The sequence below is a fragment of the Homo sapiens genome, chromosome 13 (genome assembly GCF_000001405.40).
Source record: "Homo sapiens chromosome 13, GRCh38.p14 Primary Assembly".
Taxonomy (NCBI): domain Eukaryota; kingdom Metazoa; phylum Chordata; class Mammalia; order Primates; family Hominidae; genus Homo; species Homo sapiens.
This window is the reverse complement of record NC_000013.11, coordinates 91,135,336-91,158,980: the sequence shown is the minus strand read 5'-3', so window position 1 is coordinate 91,158,980 and position 23,645 is coordinate 91,135,336. Positions and strand designations below refer to the sequence as shown.

At 35.9% G+C, this 23,645-nt stretch overlaps 1 long non-coding RNA gene across 1 annotated transcript in view; it reads left to right on the top strand.

The window, feature by feature from the left end:
* The window catches only part of LINC00379 (long intergenic non-protein coding RNA 379), an 84,086-nt gene that overhangs the window by 52,718 nt on the left and 7,723 nt on the right, over window positions 1-23,645 (top strand). The gene's annotated exons all lie outside the window — the stretch shown is intronic.

Sequence of the window (23,645 nt, the reverse complement as noted above, 5' to 3'; positions counted from 1 at the left end):
TTCAGTTTCTCTGGGGTGGGAATTGTCGCATCAAGATAACCATCAGCTATTTCCTGGCAGTGAAACCAAAAGAATACAGGACTACTTCAACTTGCTTATAAATTTTATATAAATGTTTGTGCCAGACTCATTTGAAGTTTTAGTAAAGCCATTTAACAAAATCCCAATATAAGAAGTGTTTCATACATTTTTAACTATTTCTTTCCCAAATATTCCTTATATGAAGACAAGAGGAAGTCTTGTTATTGTGTATGTGTGCCTGCGTGTGTGTATGTGTGAGATATGCTTCTTCTACCTCATTCATTATAAACAGGTTTTCAAAATTTTTCTAGTCTTGAAGCAATGAAAATGGCCATGGTGAATACAGGATTGATAGCTTCTAACAGAACATCTGACATTTTAATCACATCCAATGTTGAGTAAAGACAAATTGTTGGATATTTTCTAGGTCTAGACTTTGATTACTTATTTTCTCCAAGCTACAAAATAATCCTAAATTAACAAATTTCTGAATTTAAATACTATTTCCTACACAGTACTGGTTAAAAAAAAAATCTATTATTTAAAAATGAGAAAAGATAGTGTGGCAGGTATTCTGTAAATAAATTCAGTTGGTGTGCTAAAAAATAATAATAAGACCCAAGAACCATGATTCATTTAAATACTTCATTCAACGTAATTTGAAGTAAAATCCTGATGACGGCATTTCTAATTAGGTGGTTATTTTCCATTTCTCTTGTTTCCCAATGTTAAGTTCCCAAAATACTTGCTGATTTTAAGTAATGCATTAGATGGCACTATTCACATAGTTTAGAACGGCAGCCACTGCAGTCGTTTTCAATGCACAGACCCAAATATGCACCTTCTTTTTGGATTTTACACCTTTCCATCTCTGTCTCTAACTGTTAGTTTCCTGGCCTCTTTTTATGCCTTTGGTGCAACTAGGGAAAAAAAATTAAAACAAAAAACTTATATAGGAAAGTTAGTAATTATGGATATCCCATGACAGACATAAGAGCAGATTCTGTGTCTTTTGAATCTTTATAGCTTACTTAAGCAATAAGGAAATATGGAAGATCATAGCTGTTTCTCATTCATGGCTATTTAATGGTTCACAGAAATACACATCGCTATCTTTTGCTAATACAGTGCCAGCCATGCTCGCTTAAAAGTAATGGGATGACTTTGTTATTAAGAAAATGTTCAGATTTGAGTCACATTCTTCATTAAAAATTGTTACTAATTTAGAAGTCTTATTAGATTTTACTATTTTTTCCTTATTATTTCCTCTTTTGCCTTTTCATAGATTTTGACCATTTGGCTTTTTAAAAGAAAACCTCTATTCTAACCCTCCTTATGTTTCTATTTATTTTTATCCTCAAATCCAATAAGGATAATTTGGCAGGTCGAAGCCTGACTTAACTCCATTGGAGCAGAGTCCACATGGACCAGATGTCAAATAATTTAATATATCCTAGAGCCATCAGGGAAATATCTCAAAAGCCTAAATCAAGATGCCTTTTAGCATCAGGGCATAGCTTTCTTTTCGAAATTTAGCTTGGAAAAATAAATCCTCAAGTCACTGTTTTTCTTCAAGTAGCTGAATGGCCTACCCTCTCCAATTTCCACCACCCAGTAAAATCTGTTTTCCAGTTTTCCAGAAACCCTGGGACCTCTTGACCCAGGAAGGTATGATGCCATATGTTAAATCCACTTAGACTAAATTTAGAAGCATCTTTTCCCCTTCCCCAAGTGAGATCAAGCATTCTTTGAGGAGAGGCTAAGCATTGCTTCCGGAACTAAGGGTTGCAAGGTCAGAGGAATAAAGGGGGCTTTGTAATACCTGAGATTTAACCCTTCTTATTCCTTCCAAATACACCACAGATTTTGGATATATATAATGATAAACTTTCAAATGAATAAAATCTTTTTTGGGGGAATGAGCATTGAAAATATATTTGTTAAATGAATGCCATCTGATGGAATAATAATGTAGATCCAATTAGAGTTACACAATTCTTTCTCACATAAAAACAGAAGCTCATAATTTCTATTATCCTATGTTATCGATGAGAAAATTGAAAAACAGAAAGACACACTTCAAGTTCACAGATCTAAGACTCATTCATACTCATCTTCTGATTCCTGATTTAGTATACTTTTAATCAAACTTGGAAATCTCAACTAAATTCTATGTTATTTTTCTGTTTAGCAGTCTACATTATGGATGTCTCACTTAAACATTGGCTTAAATTTGTCTTAATTTATTAACTCAGGGCAAAGCTATAGGTTATTCCCTTTTCTGGTCAGGAAACAATTATTGGAATAGCTAGAAAGTCTCCACTTACTTCTTGGCTAGCTAAATTGCCCTATTACTCCTAAGTTAATCTGAATACTTTTAGGAGCCATGTTCTTCTGGGTTTAAGGATTTTTGAAAGGGTGAAGAGTGTTTTAGAGAATTTATCTCTTAAAGGAAAACTGAAACAGAGAAATGACCTTTAAGTGAGAGTTTTCATGAAAAGACAAACAAAAATTTAGGAAATTGTGATAGACTACATTTGCTTTTTAATACCCACCATATGTCTGATTTTATTCAGGGACTAGAGGAGTGGGTTAGTGCTTATTTTCACAGATTGTATAAATAACAGGCCTGCTATTGCTTCTTTCTTCTAGGTGATAACATTTTGGGTTGTACTGAAGTGCTAGGAAAAAAAACTTAAAACCATCACTAATTATTAATAGAGACAGTCCACTTTTAGGTCTTTGGTTTTTCTGTAATGCCGTGGACTGTGAGCTTTTACATTGGGGGTTGTTTTACCAACCAGAGATAAAGGCGATTGCCCTCAGGCATTTCAATATTAATATTTCATTTCTTGTTGTTTATTTTTCTCTCTGATTTTTTCAGGTTTTGCTTAATGATCTATACATCTAAAAGTAAGTTTTAAAATAAGGGTCCAGTAACATCTTTTTTTAATATATATTTTTACTTTTGTATCTATTCCTTTTTAGGACACCAAACACCAACTTTCCTACTTTCCTTTTCCTGTGTGTCAGTGGTAGGAGGGTAAGTAGATCTTGCTTACTCCCATGCCCACAGGAAAGGAAGCACTAACATTTGCAGAGTGCTCTCTGGGTCCAGGCACTGTGCTAACCTGTTACATATGTGGTGGTATAATATTTCAAAGTGCTAATTGTCCGGTAGAACTGCCAATTCTCCCAGCTTGGCGGCTAAATGGAAAAGCAACATGGCCGTGGGGACGATTTACGGTGGGGAACAAAGTTCTTTAGCTTTTAAGTTCAAAGGGCACCATCTGGGTATGACACAGGGAAATTTCTGAAAAGGAATGCAGTCAGGGAGAACAGGTTTTTCTTCCTAGTTTGAGACTAAAGAGATAAAGGAGCCTGGAGTTTGCAACCAAGCTATCCCCAAAGTCATTCAGTTCTAAAAACACTGGAATTGATGTTACTTTCTGCTTCCCTTCCTTGAAATATGTCTGTGGCTTCTTCATTTCAGAGGCCACCAAGAATCAGCAGTTTCTCAAAGGATAGCAGATTGAGGTTACTTCTTTGGGATTTGTAACAAAAACGGAACAATCGAGCACAATGGACTGTTACAGAAGGATTCATTAAACATTTTAGTGGACAAGTTTGCAGATACTGCTCTTTGGTAGTAGACATAAATCTCCCTATTCTTCCTCATTTCTAAGTTAATAACAAACAGGTCTTGCCTCAGCCTTACCCTTCTTGCTGCTGCTTCTGTTGGGTTTCAGAGGGCTTGCAGACTTCTGCAATGACTTCATCTGTAAGTATTTTCTAGCCTTTGTGGCAAATCTTTGTAAGTTCCCCATTTTCTTTAAGCCCATCCCTGGGGCCTCCTCATTGGCCACTGGCTTTCTGTCTCTCACTTGCGTTTCTCTTCTCTGTATCTTTGTCCTAACGTATCCAGTATCTGAAGCACACTAACACTACTCTGAGTTATCTTTTTTTCCCCACGAGTTTTTGTCAATATGCAGAATGAAAAGAGCTATTCATTTCCTTTAGAAAATTGTCATTTTGTAATAAAAAGTTTGACTTCTGGTAGTGAAAAATTTAGCATACCAATAGGAGGAATCATCTCCATTTCCTCCTTCTCCAGAAAATAAATAAGCCACACCCCTTTCTAGTTACTTCCTCAGTTTCTAATTGTAAAGCATCCCCGAAGCAACCATGCTCAGAACAGCAGTGACTAGCAGCTGCTGGAATTACAGAAGGGAGACAAAAGCTTTCAACCCTCTACTGCACGTGGTATGTTGGCTACTTCAGCAGTGTGGCCACTGTGAGAGAGCTGGGCTAGATGTTTGGGTTTTAGGTTCGTGCATAGCTCCTTGTACAGATGTCACTTCAGACAAAATCATTTGTCTTAATTCTTCATCTGCAAGACAGATTTCTACTACCACTGAGTTAGGATAAAATGCGATGAAATATATACAAACATTCAAGATAAACATGCTTTTATAATGCAGAGTAGTGGTGGTGTTCTTTGGAGATAAGGTGATAAAAAATTCACTGTCTTTTGTTAAAGACGAATAGACTCAAAATATATGTACTGTTTAGATAGGATTTTTTTTAAGATTAGATTTCAATGCAAATCTGTTTTGAAGATTAGTACAATCTGAACTGTTTTGGACATCTTTGTTTTGTAAATTATTTAAATGAAACAATTTTTGTAAAGCTGAGCAAATTATGCCACTTATAAGTCAGATTTTTTTCTTTTATTTTAACATAACAGCGAGGCAAATTAAAAGTCGTTGTGCAGAGTGAATACAAAGAACAATGACTGAGATTCTTGCTACTTAATAAGAATTGTTTAGTTCCAGACTTTAGAAAAAGTTATCACTTTTTATATTTGCTGGTGGCAATCAAATGCAAGGAAAAAACAGTTTTGAAGAAAAAAACCAAATAAATATTTCAAAGGCTATGCAGATCTATTTTCATTTTCACAGATGGAAATACTGCAAAGTTGATTATAGTATATTTATTTTATTCAGAACAATCTCAGTTGGATCTTTCCTTCTGTACAAAAAAATGTAATTTAGATGAAAAAGTGTGCTTTCATGTCACATTGATGTCCTATGTGGCCGGCATTTCAAAATTGATAGATGATATACATAATCTTTTCTACTTTGTTAAAAACAATACTCAAATTTTAAGTTTGTTTCTCTTCAATTGCTGTGATATGGCAGGGAAAGAGTAGAAGATTTGGTCAGGAATTAAGGCTGAAAGATTGATGTAGTCCAGATAGTTGCAACATGAGAAAGCAAGAGGGAAATAGGTGACTGCAAAAATACCATCTTGCATTGCTGAAGGAAGATGATGGAAAGTGGAAGAAAACCTAATTTGCCTCAGAAATGCAAAGCCATCTCAGGACTCCATTAACTACATTCCTGGGATGAGATTCAGAAGTATCACATCTCTCATTTCACCATCCCCTTCCAACATTTGCTCAACTCTGATGGAATTTTAAAGCTACATGCATCATCAGGTCAATATTTCAACCTGGAATTTTACATCTGGTTAAAGACACAGCACTCCCTTCCTTTCACTTTGTACCATGCACTTGGTGTCTTTTTGTAAGCATTTCTGTCTCCTGCACAGGACTAAGAATAACTTTGAGGTAAGGGAAATCTCCCTCTCTCTATTGCTAAGTGTATCTCTAGCAGGACTTACCACAGTACTATGCTTTTAATTAAATTTAAGAAATAAAATATATCCAGTTTACATAGTGTTTGTTTACTGATCAAAAACTACAATACATCTTTACAACAAATAGAATAATACTTATCCTAGGACCAATTAGGCAGAAGCCTACATAGACAACTGAAAAAATGTGAAAATTTCAGAAAAATAAATACTACTATTAAAAGAAAAATTTTGCCTGAGAAATGCAAGAAGAAAGTATTTGCATATGGCAGAAATAGACAGGTTTCTCCATTTGCCCCTGACTCTCTGTTCCCATGTCTATTCTCCGCCTTGGTCTGTTTTCTAGGAATGCAGCTTCTGTGAACATTCACTTACAGGGTTCTTCATGATTGTATGTTTCTATTTTTCTGGGATAAATGCTCAAGAGTATATGATTGCTGGGTTGTATGGTAAGAGCATTTTTGGTTTCATACATTAGTTCCACTTTTAGCTCCCAGATAGCTTTGTAAATACTATCTTTACAACTCTTCAAATTGGCCATCACTTTCCTGTTGAGATGGAAAGACTGAAATTAGAGAAAAACAAAATGTTGGAAATATAAGAAATTTCTAAATTATGTAGAATATGTTTAGTCACGCACTCTTTGCATATAAATATATGTACCTTCTTTGTCTTACATTCAACTGCAAACATGGGACAAGAAAGATGGACAAAGAATAATAATTGTCTTCCACCTGTCAGAGGAAATCCAAGATAACATTATTTTCTGAAATAGATCAGCAGAAGTTTAATTTGGCTCTGGTTATATCTACTAGCTATTGTCTTCCATAAGGCTGTGTGTACTCTTCATAATAAAAAATAAACTGGAAACATCAAAAAGTTACAAAGCTCAAATTAACACTAAAAATGAGAATCACCCACATATATCTGAATGTGTAGTAGCAGGACTGTATCTCACATTGCCCGAACACAACAATTGCATAAGTTGTCACAAAGGGCAGAGAAAATATCTTTTGTCTGAAGTATAATTGTGAGGTACAGGATGCTCTGAGCCTCTCCCCAAATCAGAGTGCCTCATGTCACTAATGATTCAGTTATTAATGCATTCTAAAAATATTTCTTGGCCACCTACTGTGTAAAATGCATGTACAGGAAGACAAGCTATAATTCTATGCTCCAAGTTAATTCTCTGAGGACAGCAAGTCCTCAGGAATTGCTTGGGATAGCATTCAAACACTAGTAAACATAATAGCAAACTTGAACAGAGGAACTCTGAGTTTTAATAGCTGCATAATATGCATAACAAAACAATGGAATCAGATAAACTCACCCCAAAATAAAAATCTTGACTTTATAAAGTATTGGAGATGATCATAAAGATAAGTGTTGTTTTATTGATTTTATTTTTTTCTCATTGTCCTTATTGTGCAAATGACACAAACCTAGATTCAAAATTGTTAGATTTTGTAACACTGAAATTTCTGCTCTACAAGTACAAAAATCATGTATTTTTCAAATAAAATCAGAAGCTCGACATGCTTTGTTGTATAAAAGGGTAGTGTAGATAAGGAAACAGCTCAAAGAAGAAAAATAGATACAGATTCTCTTGTTACTCTCCAGGATGCACAGGAATGGAAAGTGGGCAGGAATTGAAAGACCTTGGACAAATTCTGCCTCTAGCATATTCCCACTGTGTGTAACCTTGGTAAATAAATCACCGTCTAGATTCTCCTATCCTCCTCTATCTTTCTCTTTCAAAAAATTAAATAAAAATGGCAGGATAATAATGCCTGCTTTCACAAAGTAATTATAATACTTACTTCACCGGAGTGCTGAGGTAGTAAAAATATAGTAGGAAAGCACTATTTAATAAATGCTTACACACCTATGCGAACAAATAGTATGATTTCATACAAACAAGTGCTGAAATTCAAATAGTCATTCTTCTTCCTCCCAGTTTTCCATTGTTTAAAATTTTTGGAAATCCTCCTATGACATGTTATTATTAAGATCAGTTTCTCAGTCTCATAAGAGCATCATTCCCATTATGTTACAGCCGTGTGTCCTGTTTGGTCAGACAACCCTTTCTTCTTCCTTGGCTTAATAACCTACTTTATTCATCACATGGCATCAAAATTACCTTTGAGTTTTCTTTTCAAAATGGTGAATCAAGTCATCAAAGAAGGGACCATTCACCATGAGTGAAGGTATCTAAAAGAGTTTGTCTCAAGCTTTTAAGTAGATTCTGTAGTTTAAATAATATATACTTACAGAAAGCTGCATAAATTAGGTGTAAAGCTTGATCAGTTTTCACAAAACGAACACATTGGCTAACTATAACCTAGGTCAGGAAATAGAGCATCACTGGCAGCTTAGTAGCCTCCTTTTTGACCTCTTGTAGTCATTAACAATTCCCTATCTGCCCAAAGGTAATTACTATCCTGATATCCATCTATACAATTTATGGAGATAAAGTTGTTATCTACAGGATGACAAAATATGTACATTGTGTCATATTCACTTAAAATTAATAATTACCCACATCATTACATATATCTGTAGTCAATTTTCATGTGTTAATACATTGAATAAATATTATGAATATGTCATTATTATTCATTCTGATGTCTTGATGATGATTTGAGAGAAATATTAACCAGTTTCAGGCTATTTCAAATAGTGTGGCTGTAAACATCTTTGTATATGTGTTTTGGTGAACATAAATATTTCTGTTGAGTGTATTCTTACGAGTGGAATTACTACATCCATGGATACGTATGATTTCCATTTAATTAGATACTGCCAGTTTTCAAAAGTAATGAAACCAATTTAGACTCCCACTGCTATTATATAAAATTCTGATTTCATTTTTTTAGGGAATATTACTTAATTTCTAGACATAAGGTGATTTTATAGTGATTTTGCTGTTATTAATTTCTAGTTTTTTATAGTCAGTGAAGAAATTCTCTCTGATTAAAATCCTTTGACATTTGTTGCAGCTTACTTTATAGACTTGCATATGGTCAGTTTTTGATAACTACTCAACATTTCCTTGATGTATTAGTCAATTTTCACACTGCTATAAAGAACTACCTGAGACTGGGTAATTTATTAAAAAAAGAGGTTTAATTGACTCAGTTCTGCATGGCTGGGGAAGCCTCAGGAAACTTAAAATCATGGCGGAAGGTGAAGGGGAAGCAAGGCACATCTTACCATGGTGGCAGGAGAGAGAGAGAGAGAGAGAGAGACAGAGAGAGAGAGAGAGAGAGAACGGGAAGGTGCTGCACTTTTAAACCATCAGATCTCATGAGAACCCACTCACTATCATGAGAAAGCAAGGGGGAAATCCACCCCCATGAGCCAATCACCTCCCACTAGGCCCCTCCCCTGACATGTAGGGATTACAATTCAACATGAGACTTGCATGGGGACACATGGCCAAACCATATCACTTGATAAAGAATGTACATTCTGCAGTTGTTGGTGCATTGTTTTATATTTGGTCAATTAGGTCAGATTAGTTATAAGCGTCCAAATCTTTTATAATCTTATAGACATTTTTGGTATGATTTTTCTTTCTGTCACTAAGATGGGATTGTTAATATCTCCCATTATGGGCCTGGCGTGGTGGGAGGCCAAGGTGGGTGGGGAGACTAAGGTGGGAGGCCAAGGCGGGTGGATCACGAGGTCAAGAGTTCAAGACCAGCCTGGCCAATATGGTAAAACCCCATCTCTATGAAAAATACAAAAATTAGCTGGGCATGATGGTGCATGCCTGTAATCCCAGCTACTCAGGAGGTTGAGGCAGGAGAATCGCTTGAACCCAGGAGATGGAGGTTGCAGTGAGCCGAGATCACGCCACTGCATTCCAGCCTGGGAGACAGAGCGAGACTCCATCTCAAAAAAAAAAAAAACAAAAATACAAAAAACAAAAACAAATATATATATATATATGTGTATATGTGTGTGTGTGTGTGTGTGTGTGTGTGTGTATATACATATATATATCTCCCATTGTGATAATTCAGCTTCCGTGTATAGTCTTGCATTTTTTGCTGTATATATTTTGAAGGTACATTATTAGATGCATAGAGTTTCTTTTTTTTAATTTTTTTTGAGGCAGCGTCTCACTCTGTTGCCCAGGCTGGCGTGATCTTGACTCACTGCAACCTCTGCCTCCCGGCTTTAAGCAATTCTCCTGCCTCAGTCTCCAGAGTAGCTGAGATTACAGGTGTGTGCCACCACGCTCAGCTAATTTTTGTATTTTTAGTAGAGACAAGGTTTCGCCATGTTGACCAGGCTGGTCTTGAACTCGAGACCTAAGGTGATCTGCCCACCTAGGCCTCCCAAAGTGCTAGGATTTCAGGTGTGAGTCACCGCACCTGGCCTAGAGTTTTGTTTTAATCTTCTTTGTGGAGGAATGTGAAGGATTATTCCTAGTAATGCTTCTTTCCTTACACTCTATGTTTTCTGGTATTAATTTATATGCACTAGTTTTCATTGGATTAGTATTTGCATGGAATAGCTTTTTTCCATTCTTTTACTTTCAACGTTATTTTGTTCCTTTATGTATCTTTATGTCTTATATGCAGCATTTATTTTGGATTGTTTTATACAGTTTGATAATTTTTAAAAATTAGAATATTGAGTCTGTTTATCTTTGTGGGTATACTTTCGTTTTTTGCTTGCTTTTAATTTTTTTACTAAAGTGAAATTTTCCTACAGTGAGACCTATACATATATCTTATCTATAATATGATAACTTTAAAAAAGTATATACTCATACAAACCACTCAATCAAAATATAGAATATTTCCGTCTTTCCAGAAAGTTCCCTGGGTCACATTCCAGGCAGTCTCTACTCCCATAGACAACCATTTTTCTGAGCTCTAACTCCATAGACTGGATATGTACTTCATATAAATGAATCATACAGCATGTAAACTTTTGTGTGTATGGTTTCCTTTATTTTGCATGATACATGCTTACCATTTATAAGTTTTTTTTTTTATTGCTGAGTAGTGTTATATTGTATGACTGGTTCTTTTTTTTTTTGGTGATATACAGTTGAATTGTTTCCAGTCTTCATATATAATGAATAAAAATTCCATAAGCATTTATATGTACATACATTCTTATTTTTCTTAGGAAAAATTCAGTGGGGTATAATTTCAGGGTCAGAGAATAGATGTATATTTAATTTTACATAAGAAACTGTGAAAAAATTTTCCCAAGCCATTGCACTACTTTACAATTCTACTAAGCCATGTGTATGTGATATAATCACTGATATATTTGACATTAAATCTATCGTCTTACTCTTTTCTACTTGTTCTGCCTGTGATATTTCTTTTTTATGCAAGTTTTTTCGTATTTATTGCATTTCATAAAATATTTTATCACTCCACTTTCCTTTCTTTAACTTTGTAGGTAGACATTAGTTACAAACCGTATTAGAAGTCACTGTATGTATCCTTAACCTATAAGACTCTAATATAAATTGTATCTTTATCACCTCTTATACCTTATGGAGATCTTAGACCCTTTAACACCAGTTACTGTCATTCTTGCTTTTTGGATTATTATAATCATGCATTTTACTTCTATAAATATTTCTGCCACATAAGGAGAAATTATATTTATTTTCAGTCAATATTTATTTAAATTTACCCACATATTTAAAATTTCTTTTTTTTATTGTTTCTTGCATTTCTGTGCTTCTGTTACAATTTTCCTTTTGCTCGAAAAAACATTTTAATATTTCTTGTATGCAGATGTGTTGGCAAAAATTTGTTATAGTTTAAGTTTGCGTAGAAAAGTATCTCATTTTAGAAGACTATTATTTCTTGGCATAGATTTCTAAGTTGGCTGTTTCTTTTTTCTTGAAAGATATCATTTCGTTGTTTTCTGGATTTATTTATTTCTATTGAGAAATTTACTATGAAAAGTATTTTGCCCCTTGAAAGTAAAAGCTTGTAATTTTTCTGTAGCAGCTTTGGAGGTTACCTCTTTTCTTTTGTTTTCAGTAGATTTTACTAATTTACTGAGGCATGGTTTTCATTGTATTTACTCTACTTTGGGTTCATATCGCTTTTTGAATCTGTGGGTTGATAACTTTTATTAGTTTTGAAGAGATCCTGGCTATTATCTTCATAAATGTTGTTCGTTTTACTTTTGTTCTTTCTTTCCTTTGGGACTCTAATCACCTTGGCATCTTGTCTCACGTTCTCTGAAGTCTTTGTTCTGTATATTCTAGCTTTGTTCTCCCTCTGTTTTAATCTGGATATTTTTTGTAGTCACCTGTTTTCCAGATCATTGTCTTTTCTTCAGTTGTGTCTAACCTGTCATTATGGCGATCTATTGCATGTTTATTTTAGTTTATTTTAATTTTTAGATCTAGAGATTTCTTCTTCTTTGAATAGATTTCAGTTTTCAAATGCAATTCCTCATTTTGCCAAGTATGTTCTTGAGTTATTGGAAAGTCTGCCTCATAACTCCGTTATATCTATTACATCACCATCTGTTTCTGTCATCCACTTTGTCACTGGGTCTCCTTTCAAATTGTTCAGTTTGTGCTTACCTTCTCTCCAATATTATGGCTCCTTAGGGGTTGGACTCCAAGTTTTAGCTCTCCAGTTTGGTGAGACTGCAGGAAACTCTGGGATTGCTTAGGGAGAAAAGTGGCATAAAATAGGAGACTCATCTCAATGAATTTCTCTGATCTTTGTGATCTTGACTCCTTTAGGTCGGGGCTGCTCTGCTAGCTCTCTAAAACTTTCAGGCAAATTCTAATTTTTTTTTTTTTTTTTTTTTAGACATTGTCTTGCTCTGTTGCCAAAGATAGAGTCACTGGCGTGCTCATGGCTCACTGTTAGCCTCAACCTCCCAGGCACGGGCTATCTTCTCACCTCAGTCTCCTGAGTAGCTGGGACCATGCCTGGCTTATTAATTTTTTTTTTTTTTTTTTGTAAAAACAAGGTCTCCCTGTGTTGCCCAGGCTGGTCTCAAACTTCTGGCCTCAAGTGATCCTTCTGCCTCGGCCTTCCAAAGTGTTGGGATTACAGGCATGAGCCACACGCCAGCCTCAAGCAGATTCTTGAAAAGTATTTTGTTAAGCTTTTCTAGTTGTTCTGGGTATGAAGACCAGTCAACACTAGTCTGTCATAGCCAATGGTATGTACCTTATGCTTTCATAGTGAAGCTAAATGATTTAATAGCCATAGTACCACTGCAGTTGCACTTTAATCCAAAGGCCCCTGGGATTTTTAGCTTCAGGAGAGAGGCAAGCTGCCATCAGGAAAAAACCGATCAGCTGTTCTTCCAAATCAGCCACAAGCAAAGCTTAGAGAAACTGAAGTAGTATGTCCTTGGCCATACTACCTCCCAGACATATTTCTGGAATGAACAGACACAGGATAAAGTCTGGTCTGAGCAGCTCTGATCTATTCATGAAAATTTCACACCTGAATTTTCACATTTTTTGCATGATTACTATATTATGGAAATAGTAAAAAAATGAGGAAATCTCCTTACACTTACAAGCAGAAGTGGAGACTGATACAATTATGACATCAACTTGTGCAATGACTGTGCAATTAGTTGAACTATCTTAATAATCAAGTCCATTGCCCTCCTCCAAAGCACACCACACACACCTCCCCTCACCAAACCCCAAACCAGTATGCGTTAATTTAAATTTAGGATAAATCAAGAGAAATATTGTCAGCTTCTGTTTCAACTTTAATTGAACTAAAATACCACAAGGATTACTTTTTATTTTCTAAATTTTCAGATTAAAAAAATTTAGCAAAAATGGAACTAGTATGACTAAAAGACAAAATGCAAAATTAACAAAATAAGTACTATAATAAATCAGAGTAATGAAATTAGAAAATAAATTTATAAAGACAAATATAGTTCACTCATTTCCTTTCAGTTGTAATGAATTTCATCCTTTACTACTGCGACTGTATTATTGCTGTTTACATTGTAACTGCATTATAACGCATTTCTGTACAGGTAATTTGATTTTCTTGCTTTTTAAAAATCTAGACCTATTTTAATTGTGGTAGGGGAGTTCATTATTTAAATGATACTATAAGGAATGCATAAGGAAAAATAATTTATTTGGTAAAGTCAACTCTTCCTTCTCATTTATGTTTTCCAAATTTGAAATATCCATTATTAATTTTTAAAAAAATGAAACATAGGTGTTTTAGAGTGGATATAAATTATAAGTAATTCTGGTTCCCTAGTCAAGAAAATGGAATTGTATTTGAGGTAATATGACAGGTTTTGAAAACACAATTAGAGCCTTTGATATTAATAAACACATAATTATCTAAATTAATGTTTGATACCTGAAATCTTTTATGGGTACATTGTCAAGAGACTTACTCCATAGGAGGAACACCTGTATTCCTATGGTTCTGAGGCCATATTTAATACTCAGCATGCCCTTAAATGTTACAATAATATGAATTTATGTTTTAATCAGAACAATAAATGTAGCCTTATATGTTCCTTAAGTTCCCATTCTCTTTATTCGCTTTCCTTTGGTAGTTGTCTAAATGCCAGAACCCTGCATGTTAGTTTTGCTTAGAAATATTTAAACCAGACTGCCAAAAACCTTTTCCTACAGCTTTAAAAAACCATTTCTCAGACGTATAGGAATTCTTATTTGTTGAAAATCTGCATGAATCTAAAATTAAACACAACAACAGCAATTCATGTTGAAAAGAATTTATAAAGAAGGAAACCATGGCAACAGAATCATTTATTTTTAACTGTACCAACCCTTATCTCTACTTTCACCCCCAAACTAAGCACACTGAAGCCATAGCCTTTTCTAGACTGCCTTATCCCCACTGTAATTTTGCACCAGTCAAAAATAGCAACAGGAATTGTCATATTTCCATTACTAAGTACTGTGCATGCCATGCTTCTCTTCCTCTTTACTTGCTCACATTATCCTGCAGACAGCCTTTGAGGAACTTTTGTGATTGTCAAGGGGAAGCTCAGCTATTGCATACTGCAGGGCCAATGTCACTGCTAATGCCAACGACAGGCTCTCTAGTGGTTAGATTGAGGTCCTGACTTAATTCCTCAGAGATCCCACATCTTATCAGAAGTGAGCTGACCACACAGGACAAGAGCAGATGTAACTGCAGCATATCACAACACAGCATCCCTTGGCTCCCGGGGATCCTGTCTGTACACATATCTGAATAGCTCTGTTTTGCTACACCACTGCCTTTTATCTTCCTGGTCATACTTACACCGCAATGCCAGGAGAACTTACACTTACAACATGCATGCTTTCCTTAACCAAAGGCTTACATACTACAGGAAAAGGTTATTTTTGTTAAAATGTCTTAAAAGTGATCATCAAAACTTTTCACGGGATTGATAAAGTTGGAAAATGTCAACGTATTTTCCCATTAGTAATTTCAAAAACAAATTACTTGTAAGACCAGTCTAAGTCTGAAAATCTAGTCACCCGTTTTATTAAAATATCAACTGATAGGATACGGTATTTAAAATGTGTCTTTTGCAATTCATTTGTCTGTTTTGATTTCTGTTAGCTCACTTGCATGAGGAACTTAGGGTGTTCAGAAATAAGGGTTCATTCCTCCTTGATTCGGTTGAGCTAGTCATCCCAGAAGGGCCCTAAGAGAAACACAGGCTTCATTATGGAAGATCAAAGACTTGGGTAATACAAATAGGTACAAGAATATGTTTGAAGGCATGAAGGGCACTAACCCAGTAACCCAATTAAATCACATGGAAAATTGATCTTATATTTTCTGAAATAAATGGAAAATCTGATGGTTAAAAGGACACTGGCCCATTTATCTATGAACCATACTCAGGGTTAAATAAGAGACCAAGAGAAGGCTACGTCTAGTAATGTGCTGGTTATAGCAATAGGAGAGCAGAAGCACTGACTCCTTTTTGGTTCATTTACACTTCTTTTTTTATCTGTTCCTGTCATTTGTTCCCATGGCCCATTTCTCCGAATTGCTCCCATTAGACTGGTCTGTAGGTCAATTTGCCTGACTTTTCTTCACCAAAGGCTTTCTGGAGGATGATCCAAGGTTACCAGGGCTATCTGCATAAAAACATTGACAAGCTCTCACATAGATACTTAACAAAAAGAATGAATATCTACCAACGGCAAAGTGTCACGTTTTCTCTGAAGTAAAGGAAAACAAGAAAAACGTTGTTTGGAATTCTTTGAAATCAGACTAAGACAAAGCTACGTTGCTTTTCAGCTTCAGTACAGAAAACAAAATCTGCCTCTCTTTGGAGGAATTATGAAGAGAAAAGCAAGAATATCATATAGCTTTTCTGTTTCCACAGCTGCAGTTACTTTATTTTCTATGATTGCTTTTTTGTTTCCAAGGTTTCCCATTTTTGGTAGCAGCTCTGAGGATTTATTCAGCAAATATTTATTTTGCCCCTACAAGGTATGAGTCACTGCCCATGATAAATGATAGCTGTGGAAGTCTGGCCACGGAAGCACAGAAACATGAGGGAGTCTAGGTGTAAATAAGGTTTTGAATAGTCATCTCTCACCATCCTAGAGACACGAGAAAGAAAGCTGCTTATTCAGCAAAGAAAACACAATAAGAGCACAAAAATAAGAGAGAGGACACAAATTTTTTTTTTCCCCACAATTTGTGGAGTATTGCTAAATGACTGTCTTTGAAAGAAACCACATTTTGACACTATAATTTGATAAAGAAATAAGAAAAAATAAAAGTTTATTCTTTCTGAGCCTGTGGCCAGCCTTGTAATAGTCAAACTGATCAATTTGGATACCTTTGCATTGAAAAAATACTAAAAAGTTGATAAAGCCCAGGCTAACAATTTTTGTGATTTGGATATGAAATTGGACATTTATTACACATATTAATTAGGTAAGCAAGTGGTAAAGGAAATTTTGAAATATCTGAACAAATTGCTCTTGGATCTCCGAGGTGCACCTATTCTCAGGAAGATACAAGTATTTGAATTCTTTGTTGCTGTAAGGAAACAGTAATGAAAAGAACAATGATGTTAGCTTGAGGAGAATAGATTTATACTTTGATATTTTGTTTATAGCTAACTCTTAAATGGATGTTTTAAAGTGTCTGATGTATGTAATAGGATAACAGTAATAAATACATGAGGCAATCAAGGCAAGGGAAAAAGCAGGGTGTAAAACAGCTGAGGTTAAGCCAGGGGAGCAGGAATGTAAAGCGTCATTGCCGTGGGGCACTGCCTGCTTACCAGGAGAGAGCCACCGTTTTGTTCCTGACCTTTCTGGCCACTGTTCTAAATAGGAACCACGCAGTTACATGTTTCAAGAGTGTCCATGAGCTAAATCCCAAGAGTCATTCAGAAGAAGCATGACTATTCCCAGTTCTTAGGCTTGAGAGAACTTTCTCCCTCCCATGGGTCCTCATAAAAACGTCAGTGCATCATCTGGTGCAGCTCCTGGAGAGGGTCCTCAGCAGCAGCCAGGGGAATCTCAAGGAGAAGCTGCCTCCCAGCATGTCCCACACAGCCACTCCATAAACAAAGCCACTTCACCTCTGGGTGACCAGGATGGTTCAACTGGAAAGGCTGGTGGCCTCTTGGGCTCCATCCAGCAGTAAAAATCTATTCCCTGGAGTCTGATGATTACATTAGGTCTTTAAAAAGCTCTGCTTGTTAACATTTTTTTTAGCCTAGTAAGGCAGAATATTCTTGAATTAAGACTGAGTAAATGTCCTATGTATTCAGACTTCTTACTCATTGATTTACTGTACGAGACAGGGTCCAAAAAGGAAACAGAATCAACACCAGTAATTGATCAGGGAATATTTAATAGAAAGAAATACTAACTGGTAGCAGGTGAGTAGCCACTCAGAGGGTATAAAAGAGAATTCAGGGAATTCCCTTGAATTCTCTGAAAGTCCCAAATGAAGAAATACACTTGGAGAAGGGGGTTCCTCTCCAGCACTAAGATTCAGACTTCATTGGAGTCTAAATTCATTGTGGCTGGACCTACTGGATGGCAGAGAAGTTGGATTGCTTCAGGCCAAATCTGGTCCATGGCCAGCTGGCTGGGACTGGTGAGCTGGGAAATCTGGGTAGGAACTGGCATTCAGAAAGCTTTCCACTGGGGTCCAACAAAACTGGCTGGAGGGCATGTGCCACGTCGCCTCTTGGACACACACCTCCAACTGCTACACTCTAGAACAAGAAGACAGGAAGCAAACAAATCAAGAGAAGTCTCTTCCTCTGGCACTGTCCCTCCTCTGATGTCTTTCACGGACAAAGATTAACGCGATGCTGATTAGCAAATGATAAGTCTTTTAGGGTTCCATCTCCAGTGTTCCAAAGCAGGGCAATGAAGGGTGAATTTGGAGCACAGGGGCAATAAATGGGTAACTGGCATACCTACTGTGAACCCCCAAAATCTGATATTGGTCTCAGTAATTAAGAAGTTTATTTTGCCAAAGTTAAGGACGTATGCCCGTGACCAGCTTCAGGAGGTCCTGACGACACATGCCCAAGGTGGTCAGAAACAGCTTAGTTTTATACATTTTAGGGAGACATGAGACATCAATCAACTTGTATAAAATGAACACTGGCTCTGTTCAGAAAGGCTGCGACAACTCAAAGCAAAGGTGGAACAACTTGAAGTGCAGAGGGGGCTTCCAGGTCATAGGTAGATAAGAGACAAATTGTTGCATTCTGAGTTTCTGATTAGCCTCTCCAAAGGAGGCAATCAAATACGCATTTACCTCAGTGAGCAGAGGGGTGACTTTGAATAGAATGGGAGGCAGGTTTGCCCTAAGCAGTTCCCAGCTTGACTTTTCCCTTTAGCTTAGTGATTTTAGGGCCCGAAGATGTATTTTCCTTTCACACTACTTTTCCCCAAATCATTAAATTCCAAAATATGTAATGCACATTTATGAATGCTCATTACACATTTTATGCTACAATAAATAAAGTGATGCATTTTATAGTTTTCAAGGAATTGCGGTAAGAAACAGTGGCAGTGGAGTCTAAGGCATCTGTAGTTTTTCTAATAGCCCATAGGCAGCTGACAATGAATGTTTGTCAAATAAGCATGCTGTATTGCTATATTGACTTTCTGATATTCATGCATAGAAGCTTGTGATTCAGACCATTACAACATCATTCAGTAAGCCAGTAATTGTCAGAAAAAGGATACCATATTTTGAGTGAATGCGAATTCATTTATTTGGTCAGTCAATAAATATTTGATGAATACCTACTGTATGTTAGGTATTGGGGATATAGAGCAATGCAAACGTTTAATACCCTTAAAGACTTTAAAGTGATAAATGTCTTGAGGAAGATGCGTAAGTGCTATGACAGCAAATAATGGGGAGACTTCATCTACTTAGGAAGGTTGGGAAGAATTTATAATTACAAGAGGTGCAATTGAGGTTGAACTGAAAGAGGGAGTTAGTTGCCTAATGGCAGGGTGTAGTGGGAAGAGGTATTCCAGGACTGGGGAATATCATGTGCAAAGATCCTCTGATGAGAAAGAGCCTATGTTCAAGGAAATGAAATAAAGTCTGTGTGGCTGAAGCATGGGGATAATGGAAAGGGATCATTGAGGGACATGAATTCTCCGGCAGATTTCATTTGCACCATTGATTCTCCTGGGTCTCCAGTTTACCTGTCTACGCTGCAGATTTGGACTTGCTAGCCTTCATAATCATGGAAGCCAACTCCTTATAACAAATCTCTTTCTCTCTATATATGCATATCCTATTGGTTCAGTTTCTCCGGAGAACCCTGACTATTACAGACCTTAATAGGTAGGAAAACACCTTAAATCCTTCTTCAGGATTTCATTACATCTCACTGGTTTATCACTGAGGGCAATTTCCCCCTCCTGGAAACATTTAGCAATATCTCAAGATGTTTTTGGTTGTCATCACTTGGGGATAATATTCCTGGCATCTAGAGGGTAGAGATTAGGCTCAGCCTCCTAAAATAAAAAAAGACAGTCCTCTCCCCACCCCCATAAAGAATTATCCCACAGTTGAGAAACCCTGCTCCATCTGAATGGATAGCCACTGAACTATTTTATGCAGGACTCTGGGTGGAGAGTTAGGGTAGGTTGAGGGAGGGAGGACAGTGAGAGTGATCTTTTGCATTTCAAAAGTATCTTGCTCTGGAGAAAGCTAATAGTAGATACAGGTTGACATCAAAGGGTTCATAAAGAAATTACTGTCACTATTAGCCATGTGAAGCCTAAAGTAAAATTTGTTTACTATCTTATATAGTAGTATTAATTTTTTTTTTTTTTACCATGACTATAAAAACTGCACCCATCCCTCAGGAGGATGGAGAAAGTCAGTGACATTATTCATTCAAATGGCTTAACATAGGGGAGAAAATTAAAACATGGATAATATTGGTCGTTTAGTTATCTCATTCCGATGACGTGTGTTGCAGATTTTCATGAAATTAAGGAATCTATTTTCTATCAACTCAACTTTCAGGCCTGTAAACATTTTCAGGTAAGAAAGCAATGCAACAAATTCCCCCAAATTTCCATATGGTTAAAAGCTGTTGAAGTCTAGCTCTACAGGAAGTCATAAATATTCTAGTGGAAAGGTAATGAAAACTAAATCCTGAGAGTTTTAATTGGAAGCCACAGGACCCTTAGCTGAGATCTGAGGGGAAAGAATTTTGACTGCTCTAGGAAGTATTTGGTATTGTGGTGATAGATCTGAAAATGAGGAAAAAGTACATTCAGGCAGCATAGGATGTCACAGGCTGGCCACTGTTAAGTATTTTTTTCAACAGTTATCAGCCCATTCAAACGACCCTACCTCTAACTCAGCAAGGGTAATATTTTAATCCTCTGGGCATCTTTTTGTCTAATCTTTTTCTGTGTAGCCACCATAAAAACTATAGGCTGCAGATACACTGCTATAAACAGATTTATGTAAGAATTTTAGAAGAGATTTTGTTTTCAACCCTCTTTAAAATGAATTACAAATATTGAAAGTCTTTGTTGCAAAGGCTTTAACTAAATGAGTATTTATTTGGCAAGCTCTTAATTTTCCTTTTAAATTCCGATTGAACCAGGTGTATTGGCTCACCTAAACTGACTTCATTAAGATGCCAATTTTCACTGTTTTCGAAGAATCAAACACGTGTTTTGAGCTTCAGAGAAAGAGAAACTGCCAGGAAAAAACAAAACAGTGGATTGTGAATGAATGCAAAAAGTAGGTGGAAATAGCTAAAAATAAAACTATTCCCAAAGCAAATATTAAAATACTTCTGTCTTGGTGCAAAAAGAAAAAAATAAGAATCTCCATGCTGGCTGGGCAGTAAAAATAACCACAAAACATCCCATAAATAGACAAATCCTAAAGTATTATGATCCAAGAGATTTCATTCATTCTCATCTTGGTGAAAATGTATACATCATTCTTTGTTGTGCCGAACCTTCTAGACACTTTAATTAATGTATATCTTCAAGCTTTTTTCTCCTTATTACTTGCTTAAAACAAGCAAGCAAACAAACTTCAGTATTCGAAAGGAAAACTTGTGAAAACTCGAAGCATGTGTTACCAATCAGCAGTGTGTATTAAATAGATTCGGAATAATTGCTATTATCGTAAAGACTAAATAAGGTTTGGGACTTAGAATTATATGTGTTAAGTGGTTGAATATTCTACCCGGAGAGCTTCTATGTACGCTTTTGCAAGCCTGGTTTCCTCTTCTGTACTTGAGTTAGCTCCAACACTACATTTTATTCCCAAAGTTTGCACATATTTACCTTTCACTCACAATCTTGTAAAAAGGAATTGCATTTCTTTGGAAATGGAAACAATCTAGAAAGTGAGTAAAAGGAGGTATTGATAACACACAGCTGTGAGATGATGTCTGCAATTTTTAGTGACTAGAGTGCAAAGTACAAGAAGTATAATTTATTAAAACACCAATCTTTTCACCTCTTACTACATTATATTTTAAATCAAAGAAAGTAAAGATTTTTAAAAGAGGGAACATGAATCCAGGTGTTTACACTGTAGTCATTGAAATCAATCTACGCCACTGGAGGAAACTTTATATGTTAGAGCATTTTCCTCCATGCTTTGTAATTTTTTTTTATACTTCTTCTCTCTTTGCCTGATGGTTGGCGGACAAACTATTTGCAAACATTTATATGACTTCTGCTTATGTGTTCCAGAGGGGAAAAGGCCTTTTGTTGTAGATAGTAAAAATCAAGCGAAACAGATAGGGTCATGATTTGCCAAAGGTCAAAGGTCATGACAAGTGAGTGACTCAAGAAGCCTTGAGGTCAAAGGTGCAGCTGGAATCCCATAACCTCCACTCTGCTTTTTACATGACAAAGGAAAGCTGTGCTTTCCTAACTTCTGTGAAGCAATCTAGCTACATGTTCACATTTTTCCTTGAAAAATTATTTTCAAATGATTCTGCCCATGATTATTTTCTCCCTTGAAACCAAGTGGCATGAAATAGGCTTTTATATAAATTGAATGTCTCCTTAGCCTTTTATTAGTATTCTATATCGGAAACCTAGAAGAGGAAGAACTAACAGAGATTAATATGTGTTTTTTAAATGGAAAATAAGCACATTTTTTAGATCAACACAGACTAAAGAAGTACATTTATCCTCTTTGTTATTTTCTTTTTCAATCCCTTGTGTATTTACTGACTGTACCTAAAAATGTTTTTCTTGCAAAAGTAACTAAGAGTAATAGTGATCTCTTATGCTTTCCATTTGGAACATGTTCTTCTGGTAAATCCTTAATACAGCTCCAAAAATAAGGTTTTGTAACAAGAACCATTCTGGTGTTAATGTCTTCTTTTTTTTTTTTTTTTTTCTGATTTAAAGCAATTAAAATTTTAATGATGCCAGGAGGGCCAGAATGTCTGTGGCAGATCTCAGGAAATCTCAGTAGCTGCCTATATCTCTACCATGTGAACTGGAGGAAAAATGCAGAACCTTGCTTTTCAACTCCATTGGTTTCTAACCTCTCATGAGCACTTAATTCCTCATAGAGAAGGAAATAGTCATGCTGTAGAATCCTGTGGCCCATGAAGGGTAATTGGATAACATCTTTTGAAAGATTTACAAGGCTGCCAAGGATTTTGCCAGCTTTAAACCTGATTGATTCAGTGTGAAAAGATCTGAACAATTGTGACCTAAAAGTTTAAAGACAGACCTTTCCTGTGAAAGTATAATTTAGAGCCTGTAATAAAATTGTATTGGAAAACACCACATTGAAGAACACAGCCATAAATTGCATTATGTTACAGGACCCTTTCCCCTTAAATCCTCTGAAAGAGGCCTAATTGTTCACCAGATACTTTAATAATGAAGTGTTTTTGTTTTTGCTCTCCTACCCCCTAAATAAGTCCCTAAAGAAAGACAAACTTGCCAATTACTTTGCCTCTCCAACCAAAAAGTTTGACTTCTTGGTTATGTGTACAGATAGAATTTATGTACCTTTTTTTTCTCATTAGGTACAGTAAAGGAAAGCAAAATTTCATTTATCTTAAACAAAGAGTAGACCAAACAGACTTGTCCTGTATTTTAATTTTTCAAAGTGCTAATTCTCATCTCATATTAATTTCCATCTTGACAAAATATACACACTCATGATTAGTGGAATATTTTATGGGTAAGCTCAAATGCTTCTGATGACTCAGACAAATTAATGATTAAACATCTTCCAGCTAATTACTCCAGGCCATTAATTATTTATCCAAGTCCATCAGTCTATCATCTATATTAGCCTCTCTTTTCTACTGCCCATTTTAGAAGAGACAGGTTTGGAAAAACTAAAACATAAGAATTTCAAGTAAATAAAATTAAATAGAATACTTACTTTTTTTTTCTTTTTCTCTAGAATCTGGGAAATTGAGACCATGGTATTTAGACAGAAGCCTCTTTATCTTTATAAACAATA